Source organism: Homo sapiens, chromosome 12 (assembly GCF_000001405.40).
Source record: "Homo sapiens chromosome 12, GRCh38.p14 Primary Assembly".
Lineage (NCBI taxonomy): Eukaryota > Metazoa > Chordata > Mammalia > Primates > Hominidae > Homo > Homo sapiens.
Window position 1 is genome coordinate 116,684,697 of NC_000012.12, and position 16,664 is coordinate 116,701,360.

General features: G+C 48.4%; 1 long non-coding RNA gene across 1 annotated transcript in view; it reads left to right on the forward strand.

The window, feature by feature from the left end:
• The window catches only part of LINC03088 (long intergenic non-protein coding RNA 3088), a 36,636-nt gene extending 23,153 nt beyond the window's left edge, over window positions 1-13,483 (forward strand). The window contains exon 2 of the long non-coding RNA XR_007063473.1: window positions 13,159-13,483. This is a non-coding gene — a long non-coding RNA (long intergenic non-protein coding RNA 3088). The remainder of the gene's footprint in view (window positions 1-13,158) is intronic.
• Window positions 13,484-16,664: the final 3,181 nt, after the last annotated feature.

Below are 16,664 nucleotides of genomic sequence, written 5' to 3' on the forward strand. Positions count from 1 at the left end.
TTATTTCAGTTCCAGCACGAGGTCAGGGCTAATTTACCAACTGAATAAACTTGGGAAAGTCACTCAAGGTCTCTGTGTGCCTCAGTTTCCTTCCCCATGAAGTGGGAAACCATAGTGCCTGGTATCATAGGATTCAGTGGGATGATGCATGGGAAGCAGTTTTAAAAGCTTCTGATACCTAGTGCTATAGTTTGAATATCTGTCCCCTCCAAAACTCACGTTGAAATTAAATCCCTTAATGTGGCAGTACTGGGAGTTGAGGCCTTTAAGACGTGATTGGGTCATGAGGACTCTGACCCAATCAAAATGGATTAATCCATTCATGGGTTAGTGGATTAATGGGTTGTCATGGGATTGGGGCTGGTGGCCTTGTAAAAAGAGGAAGAGAGACCTGAGCTGGCACAGTCAGCACCCTCACTAGGTGAAGCCCTCCACCACCTGTGGACTCTATAGAGCATCCCCTCTAGAAAACGGCCCTCACCTGTTGCAGCCCCTTGACCTTGGACTTCTCAGCCTCTGGAAGGGTAAGAAATAAATGTGTTTTCTTTATAAATTACCCAGTTTCAGGTATTCTTTTATAAGCAACAGAGAATGGACTAAGACATCTAGTAGGAACTATCTAAATATTGGAGTTTAAACGTTTGTTTCACAAAGCAAAGGAACATGAGAGACAGGTGTATACAGCATGCTATATAGCTCTTGTACTTACAGGAAAAAGAGAAATAATACCTGCAAGTATTCGTTTGCATATGTATAACTCCCTTTGCATAAACACAAGAAAATGGTGTCACTGGAGGAGAAATCAGTGGCCAGGGTCAGCAGGGAAGAGAGATTTTTCACTGTTAAACCCTTTTGAGTGTTAAACCATATGCACGTACTAACTGTTCAAAAATAGATAAAATTAAAAATTGGCCAGGTGTGGTGGCTCATGCCTATAATCCCAGCACTTTGGGAGGCCGAGGCGGGCGGATCACCTGAGGCCAGGAGTTTAAGATCAGCCTGGCCAACATGTTGAAACCCTGTCTCTACTGAAAAAACACAAAAATTAGCCAGGCGTGGTGGCGCACGCCTATACTCCCAGCTACTCAGGAGGCTGAGGCAGGAGAATCGCTTGAACCTGGGAGGCGGAGGTTGCAATGAGCTGAGATCATGCCACTGCACTCCAGCCTGAGGAACAGAGTGACACTCTGTCTCAATTTAAGGAAGGGAGGAAGGAGAGAGAGAGGGAGGGAGGGGGGGAGGGAGAGAAGGAAGAAAGGTAGGAAGGAAGGAAGGAAACATATTGCTTAGCATATATTTCATATAATAATCAAATGATGCTACTGGATGGCTCTGCGTTTCTTATTTTTACCTCTTCTGGTCTTCAAAAAACCTGTTCCTTCTACCCTGTACTAACCTCCTTCTTCCTCTTCTATCAGAAAACTTCTCATGAAACCTTCCCTGACACCCCTCCCTTTTGTATTCCCATAGTATTAATTCATTTGTTCATGGTGACAATCATCACGTTGACTCTAGTTATGTTAAATGTCAACCTGCTTCCTCTAGACTGGAAAGTCTGCAAGGGCTATGTCTTATTTATCACGTAGTACAGATCCAGGCAGAGTAGATGCTCAACAAATGTTTTTTGGATTTTTTCTTTTTCTTTTTCTTTTTTTTTTGAGACAGATTCTCACTCTGTTGCCCAGGCTGGAATGCAGTTGCACAATCTCAGCTTACTGCAACCTCCACCTCCCAAGTTCAAGAGATCCTCCCACCTCAGCCTCCCAAGTAGCTGGAACTACAGGCATGTGCCACCACGCCCAGCTAATTTTTATATTTTTAGTAGAGCCAGGGTTTCATCATGTTAGCCAGGCTGGTCTTAAACTCCTGGCCTCAAGTGATTCACCTGCCTCGGCCTTCCAAAGTGCTGGGATTACAGGTGTGAGCCACCATGCCCGGCCAACAAATGTTTTTTGAACAAATACATTTGCTTAACTATCCTCAGTGAACCTCTGGGCACCAACTTTATCATTTTCATCATGAGAAGGAGATTCACTGAGAAAAACAAAATATGCTTCCAATCCAAGGAAGCAGAAAAGGGCTGCTGCCAACTCCAAGTGGCTGGTCTTTTGTCTAAAAGAAAGTTACACAGACCTTTGCTGTTGGTTTCCATAATACTTTGCCATTTCTCACATACAAGACTCCCATTTAATGCATACGTGTTTACATACAATGTAACCCCTGGGCACAATAACGTTGCCTTCTCTTTCAAATGGAATGGTTATGACAAAATGGAGAGGCAAGGCGTACCATTTTACTTTCCAGTTACAGTTGTACTATAGCACCAACACAGAGAAATATCAACCTTGTTCTCTTCCTGTCTGCGACTGGGAAAACATCAAAACATGTTTCTAGATTGTGGCTAGAGACAGACAAACGTCTCCCTGGCTGGACCCGGAAGGCCCAGCGTCAGCCTGGAGTAGGTTTTACAGCCATGGTGGAAACCCTTGAAATGGGAGGTGCATGTGGAGACAACTGTTCCATGATGTCTGGAACAGCCAGCTGGGTGGGTGGGGATGGAGGGGGTCCCAGCACCCTGGGCTCAGACGGAGGGAGGGAGGCATGGTAGCCTTTGGATCTTTGCATGACTCTGGGATCTGGGTCCCCACTGTCGAATTGAGCATTTTATAGTATAGGTTATGGAGCTGTGGAAAGAAATGAAAGAATAAGAGAGCAAAGGAAGGAAAGGGTAAGAAAGGCTGGGCATGGTGGCTCACGCCTGTAATCCCAGCACTTTGGGAGGCTAAAGCAGGAGGATCATTTGAGCTCAGGAGTTTGAGGCTAGCCTGAGCAACATGGTGGAGACCCTCATCTCTACAAAAAAAATACAAAAACTAGCAGGGCGTGGTGGCGCGCTCCTGTGGTCCCATCTCCTTGGAAGGGTGAGGTGGGAGGATGGCGTGAGCCCGGGAGGTCCAGGCTGCAGTGAGCTGTGATCGTGCCACTGCACTCCAGCCTGGGTGACAGAACAAGACCTTGTCTCAAAAACAAAAAGAGAATGGCAAGAAGGAAACTGTATTTAATTAGCAGCTCCTACATCCTACATGCCTAGCACTGTGCTGGGAGCATTGATATCATCTCATTTCATCCTGATGTCCATTCTGGGAGATGGGCATTCCTATTTTGCAGATAAGGGAACTGAGGCCAGGGAGGGCCACACACAGAGAAACGTGGCCTGTAGCACAGTTAGAATTCCACCCCGCTCTAAGTGGCTCCAATCTTAGCCCTTTTAGGCTACTCCCTGGAGCGGCAAGAGACAGGGGCAGGATTTCCCTTCTGCAGGGAAGGAGCGCCCTCCCTCTGGTGCCCAGGAGACTCAGTGCAGGGGAAGCCAGCTGCATCCGCGTGGCCTCTGCTCCTAGGGAAAGCACGTGCAAAAGCAGGGGAGGAAGTGGCAGTGCCCCCTGGTGTTGGGCGGACCACACACACCTCCTCAGCTCAGACCCATGCAGCAGCTTTAGGGGCTATCTCCTCTCTCCGGACACCTCTTTCTCTCGAAGGCTGCCCTAAATGTCCATTTTGATCAGATTTCGACCTCATCACAATGGAGGACTATGTCATTCACTCTGTACTCAACCAGGATTCTAGGGGTGGCCCAGCGGTCATAAGGCACAAAATGAGGCAGTGCTTGGCATGCGGCGGGTGTGGACGTTCGCAGAATGAGGATCCAGAGCTCTTTCCTCTCAAAGGAATGGCCGTCACCTGCAGTAGGGCAGAGGCTCTCTGATCCCAAGTACATGTGTGCTGAAAGAGTGTTTCTGCGCTGCTCCCACATCTTTTTTTTTTTTTTTTTTTATTTGAGACAGAGTCTCTTGTTGCACAGGCTGGAGTGCAATGGCATTATCTTGGCTCACCGAAACCTCTGCCTCCTGGGTGCAAGCAATTCTCCTGCCTCAACCTCCTGAGTACCTGGGATTACAGGCATGCACCACCACGCCTGGCTAAATTTATATTTTTAGTAGAGATGAGGTTTCTCCATGTTGGTCAGGCTGGTCTCGAACCCCCGACGTCAGGTGATCTTTCTTTCTCGGCCTCACTAAGTGCTGGGATTACAGGCGTCAGCCACGGTGTCTGGCTGCTCCCACATCTTTAAAGAGGTGTGGCTCACCCACAGAAGCAGGCGGTGGTGGGGTGGGGTGGGTGGGTATCCCCTGGTGGGGAAATAAAAAACAAAGTTTGTGTATAATCGATGCATGATGTCATATTTTGGGTCAGATAAAAGATTTTCCGGTCTTCATACTACTAAAGAGCCTTTCTACAAGTTTACTTTTCAGTATAAGTGCTCAGTAATCAGAAAAGAATACAATTCTGAATAAGCCCCTGCTTTAAAACAGAATCTTGGGGCCGGGCACAGTGGCTCAGGCCTGTAACTCCAGCACTTTGGGAAGTCAAGGCAGGAGGATTGCTTCAGGTCAGGAGTTCAAGACATGCCTGGGCAACATGGTGAGACCCTATCTCTACAAAGAATTTAAAAAATTAGCCAGGCACAGTGACATGCATCTGTAGTCCCAGCACTTTGGGAGTCTGAGTCAGGAGGATCACTCGAGGCCAGGAGTTCGAGGCTGCAGTGAGTTAAGATCATGCCACCGTACTCCAGCCTGAGCAACGAAGCCAGACCCCGTCTCTAAGACAAACAAAACCAGAATCTTGTGCAGTCCTGCTTCCCCACAACAAAGAATGAATCCCAGTTTCAGAACACCTGTTCCAGCTCTGCAACTTCCTGGAAAATTTTCCCTTGTCTTTGTTTGCCTCAGTTTCTCCTATCTGTAAAATGGAGCCAGGCTATCTACCATTTGTGAAAAGATTCAAGGAAACTTAAGGCTCTTAAGCTTTCAAGTACCCTAGACTAGGAGTCCTCATCACCACTAGCTAATTTCACCTTCAAAGCACTCTAGCGTTAACCAGACCTGCCTAATTACATTGCAGGGAAATGGCATGCGTTGGTTTTGCCTGAATATGACAGAAATTGGGGTGGCCATCTGTCAAAAAATGTTCCTGTGCCCGAGAGATAGATATATAAACTCTAAGTCCTATCTGATTATCAGTGAAGGTTGCGTGTGGTTTTTTAAGGTCTAAATACCGGGTGCATGATAAAAGAACAGTTCCTTTTTTGCAATATGCCAGCTGTCATGGGTTTCCAGGCAAGACATTATTTCTGATAAATAGATATGGACAATAGATAATGTCTATATTAATATTACTAAAAAGTGGTCCTCTCCTGCAGTTCACCCGAGACGAGGACGACCGTGTATAAAGAGGCAGCCTGCAGATGCCAGACAAGAGACTTTCTTCTTGTGACAGTTTGAGCTCCCTCACTGCAATTAACTTTTTCTCCCCCTCCCTCTCCTCCTTCATCTTATGCAATGCAGTTCAGAAAAAGGGGGCCTGTATTTTCCTCCTGCTGATGGAAGTTGATTAGCAGTCAGGTGGAGTGATGCTCAGGGGACAGCACAACGGATTAATTAAATCACTTCTACTGGCTAAGTGGTGACACTTTGATTTATAGCAGAGCTCACTCAACCAGACAGCGGCTTTTCTTGCATACCGAAGGAAGAAGGGCCATACTGGCCAGTGGTTGGAGACTGGGGGCTTTGCAAACTTTAAACACAAGCATCGTAGTCATTAAAGCCAAAGCCCCCCACTGTGTTCCTCTCTTGGGGGTAGGGGGATCTGCAAGGGAGACAAACTAGACAAAGCAGAGAGACTGAGCCAGGGGAGGCACAGGACTGTATCACGCCCTGCAGAAAAGTGAGCTTGAAGCAGTTCAGCACTGTTTCCCCCAGGTCTGTCTTTACTGAACCGTTCTTTGGCATCGAACTTTGGCTCACCCTGAAGAAATAGACCTATGGGAGTCCTATGGTATTGGCTCAGGAGTGCTGGTGACTGTTTCCATGACAGCACAGGGTCTTCTCAATTAGGAGCCCTCAGATCAAAATGCATGGATTAGCTGTGCCTCTGCTGGTATGTTTTATGTCACAAATGGCATACATTTTGTGGCTGATCCTATTTCAGTCTTTGCTTGGGCCGTTGAGAAGTGCAATCGAAGCCGGGCACAGTGGCTCACACCTGTAATCTCAGCACTTTGGGAGGTCAAGGCAGGCTGATCACCTGAGGTCAGGAGTTTGAGACCAGCCTGGCCAACATGGTGAAACCCCATCTCTACTAAAAATACAAAAAAATTAGGTGTGGTGGCGCATGCCTGTAATCCCAGCTACTCGGGAGGCTGAGGCAGAAGAATCGCTTGAACCCGGGAGGCAGAGGTTGCAGTGAGCTGAGATCGCATCACTGCACTCCAGCCTGAGTGACAGAGTGAGACTCCATCTCAAAAAAAAAAAAAAAAAAAGTTCAGTCGCACATGCAGCCCAAACTGTGGGCCTTCATACACTCTCCCGTGTATGAGCTCTTTATGGATTCCCTGTATAAGTCTCTCCCAACTCTTCCTTTACCTGGAACATTTTTGTTTATCTTGAAATGCTCTTTGAAGAGCTGCCTCCAACAACCTTAAGAATGAGGTCATATAACATAGCAGTCAAATCCCTAAACTTTAGAGCATATTTAGCAAGGTCTGCTTCTCTGATAACCTATATTGGATTCGGGAGCTTGTTATACAGATCCCGACCGGGCGCAGTGGCTCACGCCTATAATCCCAGCATTTTGGGAGGCAGAGGTGGGAAGATCACTTGAGGCCAGGAGTCTGAGACCGGCCTGGGCAACATAGCAAGACCCAGTCTCCACAAAAATAAAAAATACAGATTCCTGGGTCCCATTCCATACCTTCTGAATCAGAATAGGTCAGACACAGCCTTTCTTTTTAACAGAATCTTCTAGGCAATTCTGGAACACGCTGACATTGGAGAACCATAGTTTTAGGGTCAGACATCCCTAAAAGCAAATCTCAGCTCTACCAGTCAATAGCAGTTTACTTCAAGCAAGGATCATCTCTTTTTTCTCAACCATAAAATGACACTGGTGAGAATTAAATTAGATGTCTGTAAGTAGATAAACATCTAACATGGCTGGCTGGCAACCTGTAAGACTCAATAAATGGTAGACAACTCGAATGTCCAAAGATGGATGATGAATCAGCAAAATGTGGTCCATATGTATATGGAATATTATTCAGCCTTAGAAAGGAAGGAGGTTTTGACACATGCTGCAACGTGGATGAATGTCCTTTGAGGACATGATACCAAGTGAAAGAAGTCAGACACAAAATGAGGGTCTCATTTAGATGAGGCCTGTCGTACGGTCAAAATCATAGAGACAGGAAGTAGAATGGTGGCTGCCAGGAGCTGGAGGGAGTGGGAGATGAGGTTACTGTTTAATGGGTGCTATAGAATTTCAGTTTGGGGGCTGGGCATGGTAGCTCAAGCCTTTAATCCCAGCACTTTGGGAGGCCGAAGCTGGTGGATCACTTGAGGCCAGGAGTTCAAGACCAGCCTGGCCAATATAGTGAAACTCTGTCTCTACTAAAAATAACAAAAATTAGCTGGGTGTGGTGTGCATGCCTGTAATCTCAGCTACTTGGGAGGCTGAGACAGGAGAATCGCTTGAACCCAGGAGGCAAAGGTTGCAGTGAGCCGAGATTGCACCACTGCACTCCAGCCTGGGTGACAGAGTGAGACTCTGACACACACACGCACGCACACACACACACAAAGAATTTCAGTTTGGGGTGGTGCAAAAGTTCTGGAGATAGATGGTGGTGATGGCTGCACAACAGTGTCTATGCACACGATGTCACTCAACTGCACACCACTTTTAGGTGTACACATTAGCTGACATAATCTTTTTGGGCATTGAAAATGGCAAATCTTGCCAGGTGCAGTGGCTCACACCTGTAATCCCAGCACTTTGGGAGGCCAAGGCATGAGGATTGCTTGAGCTCAGGAGTTTGAGAGCAGCCTGGGCAACAGAGGGGGAACCCATGTCTTAAAAAAGAATATATAAAAATACAAAAATTAGCTGGGCATGGTGTTGCATGCCTGTAGTCCCAGCTACTCTGGAGGCTGAGGTGAGGATCACTCGAGCCTTGAAGTTGAGGCTGCAGTGAGCTGAGATTGCAACACTGCACTCTAGCCTGGGTGACAGAGTGAAACCCTGTCAAAAATGAAAGAAAGAACGAAAGAAAGAGAAAGAAGGAAGGAAAATTGCAAATCTTGTGTGTATTTTACCACAATCAAAAAATAAAATAAATGATAGTTACCACCACCGACAAACAAAAGTTATTTTTCAACTCCCAATTCCCCACCTTGCCCTTCCAGATCTTCTACAATCGATCTAGCAACAAAGCATCCAGTTGAGGTGCAGGAGGAAGGGGAATGGAGGAGAAATGGGAAAGAAATAATAGTCTCTAGCCCTCTCATTGTTTTTTCTTAACCCAGGAGTCCAAAAAGTCCCCAAGAAGCCACGGACCGCTTATCCCAACTGTGAAGGAAGCTGATGCGACATCAAATATTAAAAGGGTAGAGGAACCAGCATAGTTTTCCATATAAATGAAGCTACTTACATATATGAAGATTGCTTTTAAAATTCAAATATAATTATTTTTTAAAAGGCATCCCGCGAGCTCTGTCTCTCTCCCAGCACTGACACTTCTGGGCTGTTGTCATGTGCCAGTGAGGTGCCTGTTGGCAGACAGCCCAAAGCACTTTGTAACATGCCCTCCAGATCCTAAGTGAAAACTGATCAAAGAATTGGCACCAGCAAAGACAAGACTGAAATCAGCTCTAAAAGGGGTGGGGTTGGACTATTGTCCCTCTTTGTGGGAACAGCTGCTTAACGGGGCATTGGAGCGGCGTGATTATAATATGCATACGGACTGCTCTGTTAACAGAAGCCGGCTTAAAGTACTCCAGGGGCCTCCACCTTGTGTTTTGGCAAAGGGATCTTCGAGGATGCTGTGTCAAACCTTTTTGAAAATGTCTCCTTGACACGGAGGGTGAGGAACGGCGTCTGCGAATCTCATTACACAGGGTCCCACGCCTCCCTCTGCTGTTCTCCGGCTCCCGTTTCTTGGCTGCCGCCAGTGGGAGTCGCACGGGGGTCACCTGCCCCCACTTTTAATCAGGACGGGGAAAAATGCACCAAAGGAGTGCCGCGGGTTACCTGAGCAGACCCGGGAGCCCGTCTCCTGAGTCCTGGGGGAGGATCATTTATTTGTCTGCAGATCGGCAAGCGGGCAGGTTTGCAGAGTCCCTGGGGGCTAGTAGTTCTTATAAAGGAGAATGCACCACCAAGCAATTAGTTTCATTGTATTGTGCATGGGATGGCATCGCCCGCTCTGGAACGGAAGAGGAGAGGGGACATCCCGGCACTGGGAGTGGGGAGGGCTGAGAGGGACCCCATGGACACAGCTGACGCCCAGTTCCATAGGCCAGGGGAGGGAAGCGAACCGTGCAAGTGCTGGAGTCGTGGGGCTGGGATCTCCCACATCTGAATCTGACACGTTCATCCCAGGGCACTGGAACTTAAGATGTGAGTTAGCATCCCCCTTCATCGGAGGTGGAAACTGGAGATCAGCAAGGTTAGGACAATTTCACCAAAGTGTCCTAGTTAGTAAGTGGCAGGGCTAGGACCACACTGCCCCCCTCCCCGCAACACCCTCATCTGTCCCACTCCAGGGCCTATGTGTTTTGCTAGTTGGTTTTGTTTTTACTTGCACCCCACCTAAAGGAAACGGATATGTTTCTTTTTCTGGGGGGGTAGTTGGCTGCTCCCCAGGCCCTGCCGAGTCCCTGTTCGGGATGGTTTCCCCGTCTCCGTCCTCAGCCCGTTGGCAGCTAAAAGACCCCCTGGCCTCCATCTCCCAGTGTCTGTGGGTAGAAGCGAAGGGAGGGTGGGAGGAGGGGAACAGTTTTAAAATGAATATATGCATGTGTCTCTCCTGCTAATCACCGGAATGCATTTTCAGGAGAGGTGAGCGGAGGGATTAGCTGCAGGACTCCCATTAATGTTAACTTTATTTCAGTAATGAGGTGCCAAGGCATAGAACAATCACTGTGGCTAACACGGTGTAATCACAGTGATGAGATCCGCATGCTGCGAGGGGAGGGCGAGGGGAGGATCGTCAGGAGAGGGGGGCTGCTCGCTGGTGGGGACGGATGACACAGAAGAGGTGGGGGAGCAGGACGGGAGAGGAAGAGGGAGGAGGAGGCAGGTGACCCTTGGCAAGGGCCGAGTGGGTTAAATGAGGGCCCCTGATAAGGAGGAAATAATGGTAGCAACTCCTCGGTGCTCAGAGTGGATAGCCCGGGAGGAGGACTCTGCTCATTTAATTTAATCCTCATGGCAAAAGGGAGGGCAAGGTGTCATCTCCATTTTATAGATCAGCAAACTGAGTTTGAGAGATGTTAAGTAATTTGCCCGACGTCACAGAGCTGTTGGAAGAACCTCAATTGGAAGTAAGTTTCTCCTAATCACTAAACCTTTCGGGACTGCACCCTGACTACAGAGAGCAGAGATAGCAGGCAAGTGCCGAAGAGCTAAAACAGCAGGGCTGGCAGGAGGAAGACGCGGTTGTGCATGCCCAGCTCGCCTGGAACACCAATGCACGTGCCTGGGTCAGTAGGACTCGGCACTGAACCACAGCTGACCATTTGGGTGTCTTAGCCATGCTGAGAGAAGAGAAGAAAGGAAAGGCGGAAAAATTGCTACATAACCAGATTCCAGGTGCCATCTCTAGCCACAGAGGAAATCATCAATGCATCCACAAACAAAAGTTAGAATGTTCTCTGAATCTCCTGACCACCCTATCCTTCCGTTTGCAAATGCTTGCACCCAAGGGACAGTTAACTCCTAACAGAGGCTAGTGTTTCTCCAAGTGTGAGCTGCAGACACATCCGGGCACCTGTTAAAAACACTGCTTGCTGGGCTCTGCCCCAGACCTGTGCCCAAAGCATTTCCTTCTTTCTTTCTTTCTTTCTTTCTTTTTTTTTTGGGGGGGGGGTGGTGGGGGCGGGACAGAGTCTCTCTCTGTTGCCCAGGCTGGAGGCTGGAGTGCAGTGGCTCGATCTCAGCTCACTGCAACCTACGCCTCCCGGGTTCAAGTGATTCTCCTGCCTCAGCCTCCCGAGTACCTGGGATTATAGGCACACACCACCATGCCTGGCTAATATTTTATATTTTTAGTAGAAATGGGGTTTCCCCATTTTGGCCAGACTGGTCTTGAACCCCTGACCTCAAGTGATCTACCCGCCTCGGCTTCTCAAAGTGCTGGGATTACAGGCGTAAGCCACTGTGTCCAGCCCCAGAGCATTTCTTAGAGCAGTTCCTGGATGAGGTTTCCTGGAGGTTTCCTGAAATTTTCTCTGTATTTGTAAGAACTCGCAGAAAGCAGACATCTATAACCAGCAAAGCACATTCTGTAGGCCAGTCTTGCCCCAACTCCATGACCCCATCACCTCCCCTGGTTGTTCAAAAGTACGAAGTTCATGCCTTCAACACAACACATTTATTGAGCACCTACAATGTGCCAAGCTCTAGTTCAAGCCCTGGAGATAGAGCAAGAATCAAACCTAAGTCCCTGCTTTTGCAAAGCTTGCATTCCAGGGAGCAAGACAAGCAAACAACCAAACCGGGAGGATATCAGGATATCAGAGAGTGCCGTGAGGGAAACGAAAGCGGGAGGAATAGAGCAGTGGTTTTCAATCAGGGCGATGTTGCCCCCCAGGGAACATCTCGAAATGTCTAGAGATACTTTTGGTTGTCATCATCTGGGGAGGGAGGTGCTGGAATGTAGGGGCCAGGGGGGCTGCTAAACACCCTTCAACACACAGGGCAGCCCCCGCAACAAAGAATTATCCAGACCTAAATGTCACTGGTGCCCAGGCTGATAACTCCTGGGCTAGGGAAGACAGAGGACTGCTGTTCAAGGCAGGGGTCAGGGAAGGCCTCCGGTGAGGGACACTTGAGCAAGGACCCAGAGCAGATGAAGGATGTCTGTGGACGGAAGGTCTCAGGCAGAGGGGATGGGGTTGGAGGAGGCGCCCTCACTGCAGGTGGGAGCATGCACGCCTCGAGGGAGAGATCTGGGGGTTTCAGCCTAAGTGTGATGGAGCCTGGGGGTCCCAGCAGGGCCAGAGATGCTCTCACTTAAGCTTCCAAAGGGTTCCTTTGGCTGCTGCAAGGAGAACAGCCTAGGAGGAGCCGAGAGGAGCTGGGGACTAGGTGGGAGGATGCTGGGTCACCTAGGCAAGAAATGTAGGGGCTGGAAGGGGAAGAGGAGCCCCAGGGTGGTAAGGTGTGGTCTGGATCAGAATGTGTCATCCAGGACCGGGCGCAATGGCTCACGCCTGTAATCCCAGCACTTTGGGAGGCCAAGGCGGGCGAATCACTTGAGGTCAGGAGATCGAGACCAGCCTGGCCAACATTCTGAAACCCTGTCTCTACTAAAAATACAAAAATTAGCTGGGCGTGGTGGCAGGTGCCTGTAATCCCAGCTGCTCAGGAGGCTGAGGCAGGAGAATCACTTGAACCCGGGAGGTGGAGGGAGCAGGGAGCCGAGATCATGCCACTGCATTCCAGCCTGGATGACAGAGCAAGACTCTGTCTCAAAAAAAAAAAAAAAAAAAAAAAAAAGACTGCGCCATCCAGGCTGTAGCTTCTAGAAGGGATTTGCTGAGGGATTAGTTGAGGGTGCGAGACAGAAATCAAGAGCCACCTTGGAGCTGACTTTCCATGAGGTCCCTGCTCCAGGTGTGTCCTTGACAAAAGGGACTCCAAGCCCTGCTTCTAACCCTAAGCCAGTGGCTCTCAACTAGTGGCGATTGTGCCCCCCAGAGGACACTGGAGACTAGGCCATGTCTGGAGACATTCGGGGTTGTCATAGCTGGGGATGCTGGCTCCTACCGGCATCTAGGGGGTGGAGAGGTCAGGGATGCTGCTGAACGTCCTGCAGTGCCCAGGACAGCCCCCACCACAGTCACCCAGCCCCGAATGTCACTAGTGCCAAGACTGAGGAATCCTGACCCCTGATTCCCCCTAAACCCTGCCACCTCCTCTCACACGGGGCCTGGCCCCACCAACTTAGCGGGGACTTTGTCAGAGGCCAGAGATTCCAAATCAATGCATCTCAGTGGCTAAGGTCCATATTAACTACATCTCACTTGCTTCTGACAGTGACACAGATCAGATGCTGCTGCTGTCGTGGCTGCCACCACAAGAAACAAGAGTGTTGGAGTGCAAATTCATTATCCAGCTGTTAAGAGCGACAGAGCATGCACACATCTCTCCCCGACCGGGTTATCTGAGAGCCAGCCCTGCTGTATGATTGAGTGGCTGCCAGCCTCCTCTTCTCTGTAACCTTGACACGCCAGAGCCGGGCCTCCAGTGCACAGGCTAAAAATCCTAAAGGCAACGGCGGCGGCAACAAATAGATGGGTTAATTTGTTTCATGCCCCCGTTGTCACCAGGCTCTCGCAGAATAAAACCACCACCACCACCACCACAACCTCCATTTGTGGGGTTTAATACCCCAGCTGCTGGGAATCAGATTCAGCCGGAGGAAGAAAATGTGACGTCGATGCAGAGATCCATTTATTCGGTGATGTTTGCTTAAAAACCGGTTTTTCATCTGCAGGTTATTCTTGCACGCTTGGACCTCAAGCAACACAATATCACATTTCCAGGTGGTATCTTTAAGGAAAGCTAATTAAGACTCTTGGCACTTGTAGGATGAAACATTTTACAATTTTCTTCAAAGCAATTTGCCAACATTAGCTAATTAAAACACCCAGCCTTCCATTGAGGGACAATGGGAAGAGCATACAATTGTCATTTCTGAGCATCTGTTGTACGGATAGAAATCCAAATTCCTGTTGCTTCTACTTGGTCAATGTCCTTCTCTGAAGGTGGCCTTTCATGGTTTTTCTGCAACCTGCATTTAGGAGCATTTAGAAGAAGATTCCAGCTTTTCTAGCACTTAGCCTCTAAAATAAAGAACAACACAGGGAAAGGAGTTTGAGCAATTGAGGCTGGTCTGCTAAGCCAGGGGTTGGCAAACTATGGCCCAAGGGCTAAATCCAGCCCTTGACCTTTCTTTAAAGTTTTATTGGAATACAGCCATGCTCATTGGTTTACATATTGTTTCTGGCTACTCTCAAGCTAAAACAGCAGGGTTAAGTGACTGCTAGAGAAAGTATAAGGCCTAGAAAGCTGGAAATATTTTTACTGTCTGGCCCTTTATGAAAACAGTTTGCAGACCTCTGCATTCAGCGGTCTGTTGCATCTGCCTATGATTTTCCCGCTCTGCAGGCCAAACTACCCCATTCCCAGTTGTTGATTGGACAGCTCTTTTCCCATGGTGTCATTACTGTTATTAAGTGTCTAGGCCCCAAATGAAGGTCTCCAAAGAAGTGTCTCTGGTCAGTAGAAAGGATTTTTTTTCTTTAGATAGAGATAGGGCCTCTCTATGTTAACCAGGCTTATCATGAACTCCTGGCCTCAAGCAATCCTCCCATCTCGGCCTCCCGAAGTGCAGGGATTACAGGCATGAGCCACCATGCCCGGCCCATTAGAAAGGTTATTCAAGGAAAGGGAATTTGAATTTAATCTCTCAGTATAGAAGATAATTTGACAATGTCAAAACCCAATAGAGGCCGGGCACAGTGGCTCACACCTGTAATCCCAGCACTTTGGGAGGCTGAGGCGGGTGGATCACCTGAGGTCAGGAGTTCGAGACCAGCCTGGCCAACATGGTGAAACCCCGTCTCTACTAAAAATATAAGAGTTAGCCAGGCGTGGTGACACATGTCTGTAATCCCAGCTACTTGGGAGGCTGAGGCAGGAAAATCACTTGAACCTAGGAGGCAGAGGTTACAGTGAGCCAAGATCGCACCACTGCACTCCAGCCTGGCAACAGAGTGAGACTCCGTCTCAAAACAAAACCCAATAGAATCTTTCTCCCATTTTACTCCGTTTTCCTAAGGATTGCAAGGTCAGCCTTCTGCTGCAGTTCGTCCAAAACATTTCCCCTTCTCCAGCCGCCACCACCCCGTTTGGAGATTCCGTCTTGGGGAATTCATTCCCCTTTTTTGAGTCCTGCCTTCTGGATAGTTCGAGGACCCTTCAGTTCTCCATGGATGGAGCTCATGGTCACCTGGATGCCTACAACTGGGGAATGAGAGGCCAGGGATCAGGGGTGGGGATGTAATTAATTTCATCTGGGTCCTGGGGTGTCTGAAGGCAGGACCAATGTGACTTTTACCTTCAAGGTTGGCGGAGACATTTCTAGATACCCCTTACCTTCTCCCCCATCTTCCTTAGCACATCCTTATCTGAAGGCAAACCTTTATCTGCTGCATTGTTTATGTGAAGTAGCTTGAAGAATCCTCATTCATCCAGGAGAAACTCCTTTCAAAGGGTGCAGGAAAAACCCTGCAGGTGGTACACCCCCAGAGACACCCCCGCAATAAGGCCACTCTGCAAATCGGGGCCTTCAAGAATGAGTTGGTGAAGGCAGGGGTGGGGATAACCAGACAGAGATGGGGAGACACCCTCCCTACAGCCATAGCAGCCACTGCCATCACGGAATTAGTTCCAGGCTAGTGTGCGTGTCCCACTGACTCATGAATGGCCATGTGCTGGATTAGGATCTTGCAGTGCAGGACAAAATAGGCTTGCGTGGAATCTAACTTACAGAGGACATCTAAATAGGGATTTTAGCTTAGTTCAAATCCCGCTATGTTTTTGGGCTCACTCAGCCACATTGCCCACTAGAAGATTCTGAGAGCAAAAGGACTCAGTAGAAAGCATTTTTGCTAGTCTGAGGGTTACCAAATCATAGCTTCTTGGTTTAGAAGAGAGACTGAAACAAATTTCTGTTGTACACAGTGTGGGCAAAAAACTTTACAGATATTATCTTTTTTTTTCTTTTTTTTTCTTTTTTTTTTTTTTATACTGAGTCTAACTCTCTTGCCCAGACTGGAGTGCAGTGGCATGATCTCGGCTTACTGCAACCTCTGCTTCCCATGTTCAAGCGATTCTCACACCTCAGCCTCCCGAGTAGCTGAGACTACAGGCGTGCACCAACACGCCCAGCTGATTTTTTTGTATTTTTAGGAGAGACAGGGTTTTGTCATGTTGGCCAGGCTGGTCTCAAACGCCTGACCTCAAGTGATCTGCCTGCCTCGGCCTCCCAAAGTTACTGGGAATACAGGCGTGAGCCACCACACCCAGCCTACATATGTTATCTTTTTAATCCCCCCTAAAAACCTGTGGGGGAGGGTATTACGATGCATCTTGGCAATTTTACAAATAAAAATTCCCAGCTTCAGAAGGGTTTAGAATTGGTTTAAAATTATGCCACGTGTAAGGGGCAGAGTTGGATGGAAGCCCAGGTCTGTCTGCTCAAGCCCACTCAGCTCTCTGTGCTGGGTTCCATTCTCCCATGCCACACATACAAGTGTATTCTTAGTATGTTTCTTTCCTTTGCTTTTTTCGTTGAAGAGCTGGGGTCTCACTATGCTGCCCAGACTGGTCTCAAACTCCTGGGCTCAAGTGATCCTCCCACATCAGCCTCCCAAAGTGCTGGGATTACAGGCATGAGCCACCGCCCCTGGCCATCTTCGTATATTTCTTAGTATATTCAGAGTTGCACAGCCATTCTCACAATCAATTCTAGAATA